The 15,236-nt window shown below is 49.2% G+C and overlaps 1 protein-coding gene across 17 annotated transcripts in view; it reads left to right on the top strand.

The window, feature by feature from the left end:
• Positions 1 to 2,565: 2,565 nt before the first annotated feature.
• Positions 2,566 to 15,236, top strand: part of CD6 (CD6 molecule) — a 48,698-nt gene continuing 36,027 nt past the window's right edge. For all 17 annotated transcript variants that reach the window (NR_045638.2, XM_047427881.1, NM_006725.5 and 14 more), the window contains exon 1: positions 2,566 to 2,800. Coding sequence is in view for 15 of the 17 variants with exons in the window: in NM_006725.5 (NP_006716.3) it covers positions 2,752 to 2,800 (49 nt within the window). In the remaining 2 variants the exon portion in view is untranslated. The remainder of the gene's footprint in view (positions 2,801 to 15,236) is intronic.

The raw sequence follows: 15,236 nt of genomic DNA on the forward strand, positions 1-15,236 counted from the left end.
TTCCCTCAATCTTCCTGGTCACTTTAAATAGTCTCTTGTTCCTTATCTATACTTTCAATTACCAACTTTTAATTCTTGAAGCATATGAAACATCCTTATTTTATATTATATATACTGCAATTCCAACATCTGAGATGTGTTCGAAGGTCTGCATTTTTAGTTTATTGCTTGGTGCTCCTCTCACCTAAAGCACCTTGTGTCCTGTGTTTTATGATTTTTCTGTTTTACAAACATGTGAACTCATGTTCCATGGGAGTTTTTCTGTGGGATTTCTTTGAGTCATGAATATAGGATGAGTTACTCCAGAGACAATTTTTATCATTTGTTTCTGCCACGTGCCTAAGGAGCTATTATTTACCTTACTTTAAATTCTTATCTTATCTTTTTGTTTGTTTGTTTTTTGTGTGGTTGTTTTTGCCACAAAGTCACCATGAGTTTCACCTCCAGGCCTATTAGTGGGTAGACTTGTGGTGAGGGGCATTCAGGGTTGACATTTATTTTTCTCCCACTCAGAGTCCATACTGAGTTGGGCAAGCTCTGTGTCAGCTCGCTTTAAGGAATTTTTCTCTCCGAGTTCTCCACTGTGGATGTTGTATTTCAGTGCTCTTTGTTTAAGGCAGAAATTTTGGATTTTGTTTTTCACTTCGATTTTGTTTCTCAGCTTTAACTTTTGTCCATGTTCATAAGACTGAAGCTCTTGGTCAACTGGATCAACAGATACTTCTCTGCTGGCTGTGATCTCTTTGGATTTTTGTTGTCTTTATATATTAACATATACAAGGTCTCACTCTGTTGCCCAGGCTGGAGTACAGCAGTGCAATCTTGGCTTATTAAAGCCTTGACCTCCTGGGCTCAAGCGATCCTCCCACCTCAGCCTCCTGAGTAGCTGAGACCGCAGGTGTGTGCCACCAAACCTGGCTAATTTTTTGCACCTTTTGCAGAGAGAGGGTTTCACCATGTTGCCCAGGCTTATTGTCGTTTTTGATCTCTGATGATTTTCTTCATTTCTCACCACCTCAGCTACACATTTTAAAAGATGGTTTACAATATTTTTGTGGTGTTTTGTATTAGGAGAATTCTTCAGCATCTGCTGTCTACCATATTGTCAGAAATGGAGTCTAGCCATCCTTCCCGGCCCATTTCAAACGGGTTCCTCTTAGGACCAGGAGACCTCACATTATGTGTGTCCTACCTTGGCCTGTGGTTTGGTCACTTGTGTGTGTGTGAACTTCATCCTCCTTGAGGGCAGGAATATGGTTTCCTCTCTTTCACTTCCACAGAGTCCTGTCCAGAGTTCTGCACACCAAGACTGTGTAAATGAATGGAATTGCATCTGGGAGCTCGAGGCACCCATGCAAACCTGTGCTGCCAGTGACTTCCACCAGAGGGCAGCGGCAGCAGGTGCCGGCGCTGGGGCAGGACTGGGAGGAGTCTCACTCTGGGGGCGCCTGGTTCCCCGTGGCTCTAATACTTGCCGCATCAAATGCATACACCCACATTTAGGACCGAACCCAATGGAGGAGGACCGCTCCTCATTCCACATGTTGGGGAAATGAAGACAAGCAAGGATGCAGGAAGTGGAGGGCCAGGAGAGGTGGACCTGGGATGGGACCAATTGAGGCAGGGCCAGGATTTGGAACCAAACCCCTTCTGGATTTGACCACTTCCAGGGCCCTGCTTGGACAACCAAATTATCTATTCCTTTTCTCATTCAATAAACATTTATTCACCTCCTACCATATGCTCCACAGGGAGTACCATGGGAATTAAACACGCTTGGCCCCTGCCTTCTTCCTATAGCGTCAGTCTGCTGCAGTGCAATGGGGCAACTCGGGGTTTCTCAGGCAGCCCTGGGCTTCCTTCCTTCAGCCCTTTGCTCCTGCTATTCCTTCTGGCCCAGAGGCCTCCCATGATTGCTGTTTGTCAAAATCCTGCTCAGCCTTGTAGACCCAGCTCCCATGCCTGACTCCCACGGAGGCATGCCCAGTCTGGTACCTGGAGATGGGATAGCTGGCCCCACTGTGCCATCTGACGGGGCGGCTCCCACAAGGCCTTGGCACCCTTCCCTGTAGAAGGACTTGTGGGATGGCCATCTCTCAGGCCCTTCCCAATTTATATTTCTCTGAGGGGAGACTTAGGCTCTTATCTCCAAAAGTGCATCAAGACCACACCCTCCTTCCCAACCACCATTGCACCTAAGGTTAAGATAAAACTCAGGATTTAATCCAAGAGAGCCAAATTACACGGACCGGGACAGGCAATGGGTCATTCACTCCCTCTTCCAATATGTACTGATTGAGCAGCTACTACATTATCAATTTTTTCTTCTGGGCCACCAGAAATGAGGCATGGCTCTTCCACTTCCCTTCTTCTTAGAAGACCCTCGGGGAAGTGTGTCTGCATGGATGCGTGTGCATGCGTGTGTCTGGCTCCGTGACTCTTGGGGTGCAGCCTGGATGGGTGGGCTCCCAGCACAGGCAGCTGGGGCTCTCCCCACCAGCCCCTGTAACAGCAGCCCAGCTTCCTGCAGACCAAAACCACAAGCAGAACAAGCAGGCGTGAGACACTCACAGGTTGGGTTTGATCGCATGCGTGTCGGAGAGGAGAGAGCAGAGAGAGACACAGGAACAAGAACAGCAAAGGGTAGAGCAGACCTGCGCCAGGGGCGCACAACGGCCGTGTCCACCTCCCGGCCCCAAGATGGTGCTTCCCACAGGCAGCCACGCGTAGCAGCCAGAGACAGCTCCAGACATGTGGCTCTTCTTCGGGATCACTGGATTGCTGACGGCAGCCCTCTCAGGTAGGCCCCCTTCCCTCATCTCCTGCCACTGGTGCTGGAGGAGCCGGGTCCGGCCCTCTCAGTCCCCTTTCTGGTTGTTTCCTTGTGGTCACTTTTCTAGGATCTTTTAGCCAAGACTACACTCAGGTACCAGGGAGGTCCAGCATCTGGGGCTAGGAGAGGACACAGGAGCCCCTCGAGGGGCTGGGGCTGTGCCTGGAAGCCTCCTGGAGTGACAGAATGTGGGAAGCATGCTTTGTGCCTTACCAATGGGTCCCTAGGGTGTGAGGAGGGAGGTGCCTCTCCCATCCTTAAGCTCAGGAACTCCCCCATTTCCTATTTCTTGCCAACTCTTAAGAAGGAACCGTTCACCTTCCAGAGAGGCAGGACCACTGATGGTGGTACTTTCAACGCCAAAGCTGAGGCTTGGGGTCCAGCAGGCGTAGGCCAATCACAGGAGAGCACCTCCCGAAACAGGACTCAGGGAAGCCAGGGAGAGTTCTGGACAACCAGGCGCTGATGGCCTCAGCACAACCAGCTGGGGTAGTCTAGGGCATAAGCGAGCATGAAGGCCACCCCCACGTCTCAAGCTGCCCCCAAGTGTCAAGGCACCTGGCCACCTGGGCCAGGGAATCAGATGGCCAGAAGGTTTGGGGCACTAGACTGTGCTCCCCAGATACTTGCTGGCCCCTGTTGAGTGCAGGGTCCAAGCTGGCCAGAGCGGGGCAGGGGCCTGGAGATGCAAGAGATCCTGACCCCATCGAGCTCTCACATTTTGGGATTTGGGAAGACTGGTATGGAAACAGAATTCGGGCCAGGGGAGTCTGGGTCCACCTTGCAGCCAGAGAGCCAAGTGCTTTCATTTTGTGATGGAGGAGACCCAGGAAGACCCAGTCAGGAGGGGGCATCGAGCTGGTTTGGAGGACTGGGTACATGTCGCGAGACTCTGGGCAGGGAGTGCTCTCCTCTCTGCCTTGATCTCCAGGCATGTGTTCCGAGCCTGTGGCCTCATACTGGTTCAGGGAAAGCCATTCGGCTCTGGGAACTGGAGTTTGTGTGCCTTCAGCTCTGTGCATGTAGCTTTGCCCTGCTAACTCTACCAGGAGTTTCTGGAGCAGCAGCTCTGGAATTTCAGCTGCCTTCTGCCCCTGAGCTGAAACAGACTGTCCGAGAGTGGCCCCCTTTCCTCTTCCCCATGAAGCCCAGCCACAGGCTCAGGAGTAAAGTCGGGTCCAAAAGATTTTCCCCAACCCAGGGCTTCAGACCAGCTCCTTCTCAGCTTCCCAGCAGGAATGAGGGCCAGGGGCTGAGCTAGGCATTGGTGCCCTTGGCGTCCGAGCCTTGGCAGCTGGCCCAGCAGCCAGCCAGGAGAACTGGCTTTGAATGGTGCCCACAGGAGAGGTGGGAACCCAGAGACCTGGGCAGAGCTCAGGGAGGTCAAACAAAGTAGTCCTGGAGCCTCCAAGTTCCTTCGATTCAGTCTGTCCCACCCTGGCAGCTCTTGCCCGACCTGCTCCTTCCCAGTACTGTCATCCACTTTATGGTTTTGAAACTGTGTTGATATTTACTTGACTCACTTGTTGTTATCAATGCAAGCTCAGTTTTGAAAGGAAAGTTTACATCACTATTATAAGTGGAAAATCAATATCATTTGCCATAAGTGAAAGGTAAAGGGAAACATAAAAACAAATGGTGGCAAAACCCAATTTCTATTACGCTTTAGCAAAAAGTGAAAAGATCGTGAAGACCCAGAGCTCATCCCCTCTGTGAAAGGGGTGATGAGGAGGGGAGAGGAGATGGCCTCCTAGCTCTAGCAGGTATTTTCTTCTTGACTTTGCAGAAGGACTGAAAACACCGTGGGCAGGGAATAATTTCCTCACTCTGCGATTTCAGAGCATTAAACGCGGCTTCTGTAAACTCTCCTGAGGGTTGCCAGGGGTGTATGTCCTACTGCTGAAAAATATGGCCTCTCCAGGCAGGAGGAAGACTGCACCTTCAAGCAGCCCCTTGCCCCTCTCCGGGGCTGATGCAAGGGACACTGAGCTGCTACACTCCAGGCCTCCCTGAGCTTTTCTTCCTCTGTGTCCAGCTCAGCAGGCCCAAATGCTAGCAGAACCTGACCTCAGAGGGCAAGGTTGACCCACATCTGCTTGTGGGGAGTTTGTGTTGGGCCGACCATATTGGGGAAAGGAGACTAGGACCTCCAAGGAGAAAAAGAAGGAGAAAGAAAAATGATGGCAAAGAGGGAGGAAATGGAGCTGGGATAATGAAGTGCGTGTGGAAGTTTCAGGCCTTTACCCCAAGAACTATTTCAGGGTGGGGCTGCCTGGCTCTGCCCTGGGACCACAGGCAGGTGGAATCCTGCCCTCCTTTGCCCTGGCAGACCTGGCTGAAACCTTGCTGTGCTCGGGCAGACCTCCCCTCTCCTTCTTCCCCCTTTTATTTTTTAAGACAGAGTCTCGCTCTGTTGCCAGGCTTGAGTAGCTGGGATGACAGGCATGCGCCACGACGCCCAGCTAATTTTTGTATTTTTAGTAGAGACGTGGTTTCGCCACGTTGGCCAGGATGGTCTCAATCTCCTGACCTCGTGATCCACCCACCTCAGCCTCCCAAAGTGCTGGGATTACAGGAGTGAGCCACCGCGCCCAGCCTCCTTCTTCCCTTTCTAACCCTAGCACGAGGCCCTATCTCCTGGGCCTCTGCCCAGGTGGCCCGGGTGCTGGGCCTGGCTTGGTTTGTGTTGCTGATTTCTGTTGCTTAGAGATTCAAGCCTCCAGTTCTCCGCCTCAGTTTCCTGATCAGCCAACTAAGGATGAAGGAACAGAGAGAATGAATTAGGAGCCCTTGACAGGGGAGGCTGGGGTGGCATCATGAGACCCCAGGTTCTGCCCTGGTCCCGTCTCTAATTCACCATTGACTGTGCTTCTTTTCTTCTCAGCCATGTTTTCTCATCAGTGGAAGGGGGGTGCTCTGTCAGACAATCTATAAGAAAGCTTTTGTCCAGATCTGACACTATGACGCAGTAACAAAGCCCCAGGCCTTTCCCGCCAGGGCAGTGCTGAGCTCCGTGACTCTAATGCCAGCTGTGCTCTGGCTGGCGAGGTCCTCGAGGGCTGCCTTTGTGTATGAAAAGGCTGTTTGTGGCTACTTTTGAAAAAAATAGTAATTCTTTAATTAACAATTTTTTAATAATTTGTTTTTTCTTAACTTGTGAGTTCAACATACTAATCATATTTTATTTTATAAGCCCTGTAATTTTGATTAATGACTTTCGATGGGCCTTTAATATTTGAGCAAATGAAGTTGAACAGACCTAGCATCCTTAAATAATAAATACCCTTACAAATGTAGCTAATCAAACTCCCTTGGTTCTGTGCTATTCCATAGGGTAGCCCCTACAATCACGCATTTAAAATGTGATGATAGTCCAAATTGAGATGTGTAAAGTGTAAAATATGCAACAGGTTTTGAAGATGAGTTTCAAGAAAGAATGTAAAATATTTCAACAAATTTTATGTGATTTATATGTCGAACTTATAATATTTTTGATATGATGGGCTAAATGAATTCTATTATCACAATTAAGTTTACATATTCCTTTTTACTTTTTAAAAATGGGGTTTCTGGTCTGGTGTGGTAGTTCACACCTGTAATCCCAGCACTTTGGGAGGCCAAGGCAGGAAGATCGCTTGAACCTAGGAGTTCAAGACCAGCTGGGGAAACATGGCAAAACCCCGTATCTCCAAAAAATACAAAATTAGCCTGAAGTGGTGGTACAAGCCTGTTGTCCCAGCTACTCGGAAGGCTGAGGTAGGAGGATGGTTTGAGCCCGGGAGTTTGAGGCTGCAATGAATGAGCCATTATTGTGCCACTTCACTCCAGTCTGGGCGATGAAGGAGACCCTGTCTCAATAAAAAAGTAGGGGGAGGGTTGTCCTGGAATATTTAAAATTACATGCGTAACTTGCATCATATTTATATTGGATAACACTGCTTTTGATATTCTAAGCACATTTATAAATATGATGAATTCCATATTTTATAGAGCATGAAACAAAATGTTCCCAAGAATTTTAGAAAATGCTTTTAGAACTAAAAAACTAGCATAAGTGAAGTGAATATTAAGTTATTTTTAAAATTTTTATAGATATGAGGGTAGAAGTGCAGTTTTGTTACACGGATATATTACGTAGTGGTGAAGTCTGGGATTATAGTGTACCCAGCACTGGAGTGTTGTACATTGTACCCAATAAGTAATTTTCATTCCTCACTCCCCTCCCATCTTCCCACCTTTTGGAATCTCTGATGTCTGTTACTCCATTCTGTATGTCCATGTGTGCACGTTGTTTGGCTCCTACTTATAAGTGAGAATGTGGTGTTTGACTTTCTGTTTCTGAGTTATTAAAGCGAATATCAAGTTCTCTTAAATATTCTAATGTTTACAGATATTGTCAAATTCTCTTAAATTTTCTACTTCAAAATTGAACCTAAGTCAATTACCTGCTCACATTCATGAGGAACTCAATGGCCAAATGTTTTTAAATATCACAAATATAGGACTTTATGCAACTCACGGAGCTTGACCCAACTTACATTTAACACCATTGGATATATACTATGAGTGTTTGTTTATTTAATCATCTCTATTTTCTAAATTCTAATCTTCCTGGGTTTAAAAGCCACTTACCAAGGAGGAAACAATGGCGCCATTGCAGGTAACTTGGGTTATGCCAAGCAGGTTGAAGTTTTTCCATCTCAGTGGACTGAGCTGAGGTCGGTGTTTTTGTTGTTTTGCCAAAACATAAGATATGGTTCCCCTGTGTTGCTGATGGATGCGCTTGTGCCCTTTTTGATAGTCCGTGCCCTCTAACTGGGCTGGCTCCTTGACCTATGAACTCTGAATCCAAGTTATACAAACCTAATCCCCTACATCTGCCGTGCATCTGGCCTTATTGTTTGATTGGACTGAATTAAACACACATGTTTACTTTTCTATTCTGACCTCTTTTCACATTCTTCCTGCCTGGCAAGACTTCATCTCATAGATACATAAATAATTTATGACAGGCTTCTGCATCTTTCTCCCGGCTTAGCTTGGCTCTCTGGCCACAGGTCAATGACTGATGACAGTTAGCGTGGCCTTCACCGTATTGGGGCCATGGAACGGGGTAGCTCCTAGGGTGCTGGAGCTCGAACTTTACAGAGGGATCTAGAATGAGTGAGAAATGCTGCCCATGGCCCTCCTCATTCAGACCACATTTATTAAGGCTTTATTTATTATATTTATAGAACACTCAAGAATTAAATTCAGTACCCAGCTGTTAGATTCTGAGTTAAGGAATCAGACTTCTCCCTGGGGCAAGGAGGAATAAACAGGTGGCCCCAACTGTCCTTTAGGACAGGAGCTTGGAGTGTAGACCTCCCAGGTGCGTGGCCATCCTCTCCCTGCCTGGACCACAGATGGGACACCATGAGCTTTAACATCCATGCCATGTGCTCAGGCCTGCCCTGAGCAGCCCCCTGGTAGGGCTGGGATCCCCAGGCTGTATCTACTTCCTCAGCTAGCAAGACCTCCAGGCCCTCCATCCTGTCCTCGGCACTGGCCCTTCTCCAGACTCAGAGCATGGTAAGTTATCCAGCATAGCTCTTCCCGGAGCACTTTATTCCAGCCCACCTTCCCAGTGTTGGCCAAGGTGTCATCCACCTGACAATTTACTTAACGTAATTTCCCTCCTTTTTCTTTCTTTCTTTTCTTTTTTTTTAGATGGAGTCTCGCTCTGTCGCCCAGGCTAGAATGCAGTGGTGCAGCTCACTGCAGCTTCAAACTCCTGGGCTCAAGGGATCCTCCCACCTCAGCCTCCCAAATAGCTGGGATTACAGGCGCCTGACACCATGCCTGGCTACTCTTTCTTAATTGATGTTTTAAAATGCAAATACATTTATTTTGAGAAGAAACTTTATATATCACTCCCTTAAATGGAAAGCCATTCATTATAAATCACCATCATGATTATAATGGTGAAAATAAACATAATGGAAATAAAACAATGTTACTAAATTCTAGCCAGATGCATTTGCTGCTTTCCCTTTCCTCAAAAGGGAGGGCTGTAGATGTCAGAGAGACTTTAAAGACTAACCCCATGGGAGATTTCCTCCTCCAAGTCTGTAATTAGAAAGGCTGAAAGGGAAATAAAGAGTATGCATAACTTCCTCATCATGTAATATAGTGGTATATAATGCCAAGTCAATGACCACCTAAATCAATTTTGCATAGTTTTGTGTATGTGCCCTAGACTTTGAAAACACTGATCCAGAGAAAGGACAAAGGGGGTGGGCATGGTGTCCCCTGACAAGACTGAGCCTGGGGACGCTGACTGCTCTGCAGCCTGGGGTTACGTCCTACACATGAGACCCCCATTTCAGGGGCTCCCCAGTACCCTGAGAAGTCCCTGGATTTTCCCAGTGAGCCCTGAGGTTGGGGGGCACCCGAGTTCACCTCCCTTGATTCCGCTCTGGGAATCTAGGCCCCTGCAGCCTGGGGAGGAGAAGGAACCTTGAGGAGGGGTGAGGTGGGTGTGGACTTTGAGAACTAGCTCTGGTCCTAACTTGCTGGGGAATCTTGGTCAAGTTCCTTCCTTTCTCTGGCCCTAGTTTCCTTTCTGGAAAACTGGGTAAATTGAACACTAAGGACCCAGCCTAAACATGCTTGTACTTTATGTATGTTCCTTGAGGCTTTACAGGTTATGGAGCAGGGCATCTGGCTGTACGCAGCAGAGACCCAGCCACTAGACACTTAGCCCTAGGAAGGGCACTGTATCAACCCCAGCCGGCATCCTGTCGTATAGAATCATGGACCCCGGAGTCAGGCAGACGCGGGTTCTGAATTGCATCTCTGCATGGCCCCAGGGTGGTTTCTTTGCCTGCATGCTAGAGATAAAAATCCCCAACTCACCAAAGTGTACAAGTTAATGTAGATGATGCATCTGAAAATAGCCGAACAAAATGCAGTGCTCAGAAATGTTAGCTTATAAATGCTCTACAGCAAGACCAAAGATAATCCCTTGCCTATGTGAATACAGGACTCGGTGGTTAACATAGTGCTGTTTGCACAATGAGCTCCATCACCCACATGGTGACCTCATTTTATAGATGAGGAAACTGAGGTTTAGCGAGGCTAAGAGACTTGTCAGGACCTGAGCTTGGGTCTCCCAGCCAGCAGGCTGGTGCTTTTTCCATTGTGTGGGAGTTGCCTGGCTTGTTTCCAGCCAGCTGTCCTGTGGGCTCTATTCTAGCATAGGGTTTCTCCCCTAAATGCAAACTCCTAGCCTTGCAGCCTCACCACTGAATCTAGGAACAGCCCTGAGGGACCTCTGAGGTCCTAGGGACCCTGGAAGTCTTCTTAGCAACAGATGGGGTCAAGTGTGGCTGCCTCCCTCATCATGGCACGCCCTCATGGGGTTTGCCTGGGGGTTGCCCTGCACCTTGGGGCCAGCAGGAAGGCAAAATTAAAGAGGCACCATGAGCCAGGGGAGAGCTTGCTGGGCAGCAGGCTCCATATTTTGTTTTGTTTTCTTTTTTTTTTTTTTCTTTTTGAGACGGAGTCTCAGTCTGTTACCCAAGCTGGAGTGCAATGCTGCGATCTCAGCTCACTGCAACCTCCGCCTCCCAGGTTCAAGCAATTCTCCTGCCTCAGCCTCCCGAGTAAGGGGACCATAGGCACCCACCACCATGCCCAGCTAATTTTTTTGTATTTTTAGTAGAGACGGGGTTTCACCATTTTGGCAAGGCTGGTCTTGAATTCCTGACCTCAGGTGATCCACCCGCCCGCCTCAGCCTCCCAAAGTGCTGGGATTACAGGTGTGAGCCACTGTGCCTGGCCTAGGCTCCATATTTTCATATTCATTCAGTACCTGCTGAGTACCAGGCCCTGTGCTGGCACTGCCATAGGACATGAAGGTTTGCCCTTGAACAGTTTATAGTGTTGTGGTAAGACACACCAGCACCACCCCGGGATAGGTGTGGCAACAGGCACAATCCAGTGACAGCTGCAACCACCACCCATTACCAGGGACTTAATATTCTCCAAGCACCAGCTATGCATATGCTGTTCCACCCTGACAACACCAGGACAATCACCCCTTTTTTATGGGTGGAGAAACTGAGGCTCAGAAAGTTATGTATTTTGTCCCAGGTTGGTGGCTAATGCTGAATTTAAATCCATGTCATGATATGTCACCACTGGGGGAAGCTGACTGATGGGTACACAGGATTTCTCTTCACTATTTTGGCAACTTCTTATGAGTCCATAGTTTGAAAATAAGAAGTTAAGGGGGAAAAAAGGATTTCAGCCCTTTCTGGTGACTCACACCTGTAATTCAGCACGTTGGGAGGCCGAAGTCCAAGAGTTCCAGAGCAGCATAGGCAACATAGTGTGACCCCCACGTTTACAAAAAATTAAAAAGTTAGCCGGATGTGAGATTCATGCCTGTAGTCCCAGCTACTCGGGAGGCTGAGGCAGAGAATGACTTGAGCCCAGGAGGTTGAGGCTGCAGTGAGCCATGATCTCACCACTGCACTCCAGCCTGGACAACGGAGCAAGACCTTGTCTCAAAAAAGAAAAAAAAAAGTATTTCAGAAAGAAGGACCCATTTGAAGGCCGGGTGCAGTGGCTCACGCCTGTAATCCCAACACTTTGGGAGGTCAAGTAGGGCGGATCACTTGAGGTCAGGAGTCCGAGACCAGCCTGGCCAATATGGCGAAACCCCGTCCCTAGTAAAGAAATACAAAAATTAGCCGGGTGTGGTTCGGGGGATGGGGGGCACCTGTAATCCCAGCTACCCGCAAGGCTGAGGGAAGAGAATCGCTTGAAACCGGGAGGCGGAAGTTACAGTGACCCAAGATCGCACCACTGCACTTCAGCCTATGCAACAGAGTGAGACTCTGTTTCAAAATAATTAATTAATTAATTAAATTGAAAGAAAGACCCATTTGAGCAGAAACCTGGAGGTGGGACAGCCTACGAGGGCCCGGCTGAGGGGAGGTGCTGACCAGCCAGTCCGGCTGGTCCTGTTGGGTCATGTTGGGTAGGCAGGACTGAAATTCCCAAAGGAGCTGAGGTCCAGGCTCTTTTCTGCCTCCTGACCCAGACTGGTGTGCCATGAGGATTCAATGAGCGCCAAGCACAGGGACTGGCCCACGGAAGGTGCGCCACAAAATGTACATTTACAAGTGTTAGGCAGGCAGTACAAGGATCACGTCCTCCAGTGCAGCACTCTGCAAATACGTAAACCTGCCTTCTCCTCGTCACAGCCCTAAGGAGGTATGCGCTACTATTTAATACTTCCATTTTACTGAGTAAGTGACAGGCTCAGAGAGATAAAGTGACTTTTCCTAGATCGCACCACTAATAGATGACAGATACTTGGTTTTACCTCATGACTCCAAATCCGTTGCTTTTTCCCAGCCCTGGAATTGGGTAGGGTTTGGGCCGGGGACCCCTCCCCACTCAAGACTCCTGCAGGAAAGGTCCGCCCTTCCCCCAGGGACTTTTCACCTCACCCACCATCAGCTGGGCCGTCATGGAACTTTATGGAGCCTGAGCTCTCCTCCTTCAGGCTGAGTGGCCATGCCCAGCCTTCGTTTCCCCGGCTGTAAAGCAGGGCCAACGGGAGCTCAGAGCTGTGTGGGGCTCCCCAGATGTTGGCGGTGACATGCTTGGAGAAATGCCAGGCTCCTTAGGGTGTTAGGAGAGACCTGTGGCCACAGCTGCTGCTCCGACTGGGACCGGGCAGGCGCTCCCAGGGACAACAGACGGAGGCAGAGGGAAGCCCAGGTTCCCACCCTCCATTTTGTAGGCTCCTGCAGCCCGAACGCCTTCTGCCTGAAAATGGCGGCTGAGAGAGGCCAGGAGGCAGGATGCAGGGCTGAGGAGGAAGCTCCGGGGCTGGGTCTCTGGTCCCTGGGAGATGCTGAGAGATAGGGAGATGGCCCTGTCATAGGAATGTGGTCCCCTGTTTTCCCTTGTATGGAAGGGTGCCCCTGGGTCTCCACCGTGTGCTAGGGGGTGGGGGCACACTCAAAAGTCCGGCCAATAAGTGTCCAGGCCACCCCCAATCTCCATCAGGACCCTGAGCTGGGCTGAGGTCTCCGGGAGGTGCCAGCAGATGCCAGGGTGGCGGGGGGGGGGGTTCTGTGCATGGGGCTGGGGACAGCAGATGCCCGGGTGGGGGGCGGTCTGTGCATGGGGCTGGGGACCAGGGTCATGTGGGGACACAGGCTGTAAGAGTGACGAGGGGCCTTGGGGCTAGGGGCTTCTTGGGGGTCCCATCTGAGGACCTCACTTCTGACTTGGAGTCATGTACTGAGCCCTGTGGCAGGGAGAAGGCAGAAATGAAGTCACTGTGTCCTCGGAGTCAGATGCAAAGCCAAGCGTGACTCTGTTCATTTTACAGAAGGACAGACTGAAGCCCAAGAGCTTAAGTAACGCCGCCAGTGGCTGACAGAGCTGGGAGCAGAGTCACTTCTGGTCACTGGGGTTTGGAGGGAGGATGTTTATCTGCACTTCAGTACCCTTTTTGCTAGGGTGTTCACCTCTTTCAGGAGGGGTGCCTGGGAGCAGGCGGGCGCGGGGAGACAGAGCTGAGGAAGCCCCCCAGGCCTGGAGGAGGCCCGTTCCCCACTCCATTTGGTGTGCTCTCGTTTTGCCTCCCTCCCTCCTTCAACCAAACTAAAGGATGCACAGTTGCCAAATGGATTCAGCTCCTTGGAGAAATATGTTGCTTTGCCGGGATGGGATTCTAGAAGTATGACAATGTCTGAGCTGGAAGAAACCCCAGCGAGCTGCCAGCCATCTCCTGTTTGTCAGAGGAGGAAAGCGAGGTGCGAAGTGGGGAACGACATGCCCCAGGGTCTTGGAGCAGGGCTGAGAAGCCCAGTCTGCAGGGACTCTTTCCAGGGCCTCTTCCCACGCTGCCCAGCAGGGCATGGCGGGGCCTGTGTGAACCAGGCACAGGCTTAACTAACTCCCCACCCCCACCCCTAGAGAGAATGCGGGGGACTGCTATGGCCCAGTGTGGCCTGACATGGTCTGACATGAACACAGGTGACCCTGGGCAGTGACATGCTGGCTTCATGTAGCTACTCTGCCCAGCCCCTCCAACGGCTCCTCCAGTCCTCAGGCTCTGCCTCCTCTTTGTTTTTTTACTTCACTTTTTTTTTTTTTTTGACGGAGTCTCACTCTTGTTGCCCAGGTTGGAGTGCAGTGTTGTGATCTCGGCTCACTGCAACCTCCACCTCCCAGGTTCAAGCGAGTCTCGTGCCTCAGCCTCCCGAGTAGCTGGGACTACAGTCCCGCACCACCACGCTAGTTTTTGTATTTTTAGTAGAGACGGGGTTTCACCATGTTGGTCAGGCTGGTCTTTAACTCCTGACCTCAAGCGATCCTCCTGCCTCAGCTTCCCAAAGTGCTGGGATTACAGACGCGAGCCACTGCACCTGGCCTGTTTTTTCACTTAACTTTTAATTTCAGGCTAATTTCAGACTTACTGAGAAGTTGCAAGAACAATACAAAGAATTTCCCCATGCTCTTCCCTCAGACTCTCCAACTGCTAACAATTTTCCACATTTGCTTTATTATTTCCTCTCAATGTGTCTGTTTTTCTATTGCTTTCCCCCTAAACTGTTTGAGAGAAGGTTGTAATGTCCCTTTCTCCTAAATACCCCAACGTGTGTTTTTGTTGTTGTTTTTTTTTTTTACATACGGACATTTTCTTACATAACCACAGTGTACTTATCAAAACCAGATAATTAATGCTGATACAATTCTATTGGATAATCGACAGAATTTATTCAGATTTTGCCAATGGTTCCAATAATATCTTCTAAGACAAAAGAAATTTTGTTCAGTATGCTGCGTTTAATTCTCGTCTCTCTATTCTCCTTGAATCTGGAATGATTTCTCAGATTTTCTTTCTCTTTCATGTCATTGATCTTTTTGAAGCATAGAGCAGTTATTCTGTAAAATGGCCCTCATCTGGGTTGTCTGATGGTTCTTCATGGTTCCATTTAAGTCATGCCTGTTTGGCAGGAATATCACAGAAGCACGTTTTGTCCTTCCCAGTGAATCATATCAGGAGGCACATGGGCTCTCCATGTCCCCTCTCCGGTGGTCTAACTTGCTTGGCTAAGGTGTTGTCTGCTAGATTTCTCTGCTGTAAAGATAATTTCCTCCTTTGTAATTAACATGTATCTTGTGGGTAGATTCTTTGAGAATATGTAAATATCTTACTCTTCCTCAAACCTTTGCCCACTAGTTGTAACATTATTGTTGATTCTTGCCGGAATCAGTTATTATAAGGATGGTTACCTGGTGGTGATATTATAATTCCACCATTCCTTCTTCATTAATAGTTGCTGACTCGGCTCTCTTTGCTGCCTCCGTGGGAGGGAGGCAGGTGGCT

Source organism: Homo sapiens, chromosome 11 (assembly GCF_000001405.40).
Source record: "Homo sapiens chromosome 11, GRCh38.p14 Primary Assembly".
NCBI classification, from domain to species: Eukaryota; Metazoa; Chordata; class Mammalia; order Primates; family Hominidae; genus Homo; species Homo sapiens.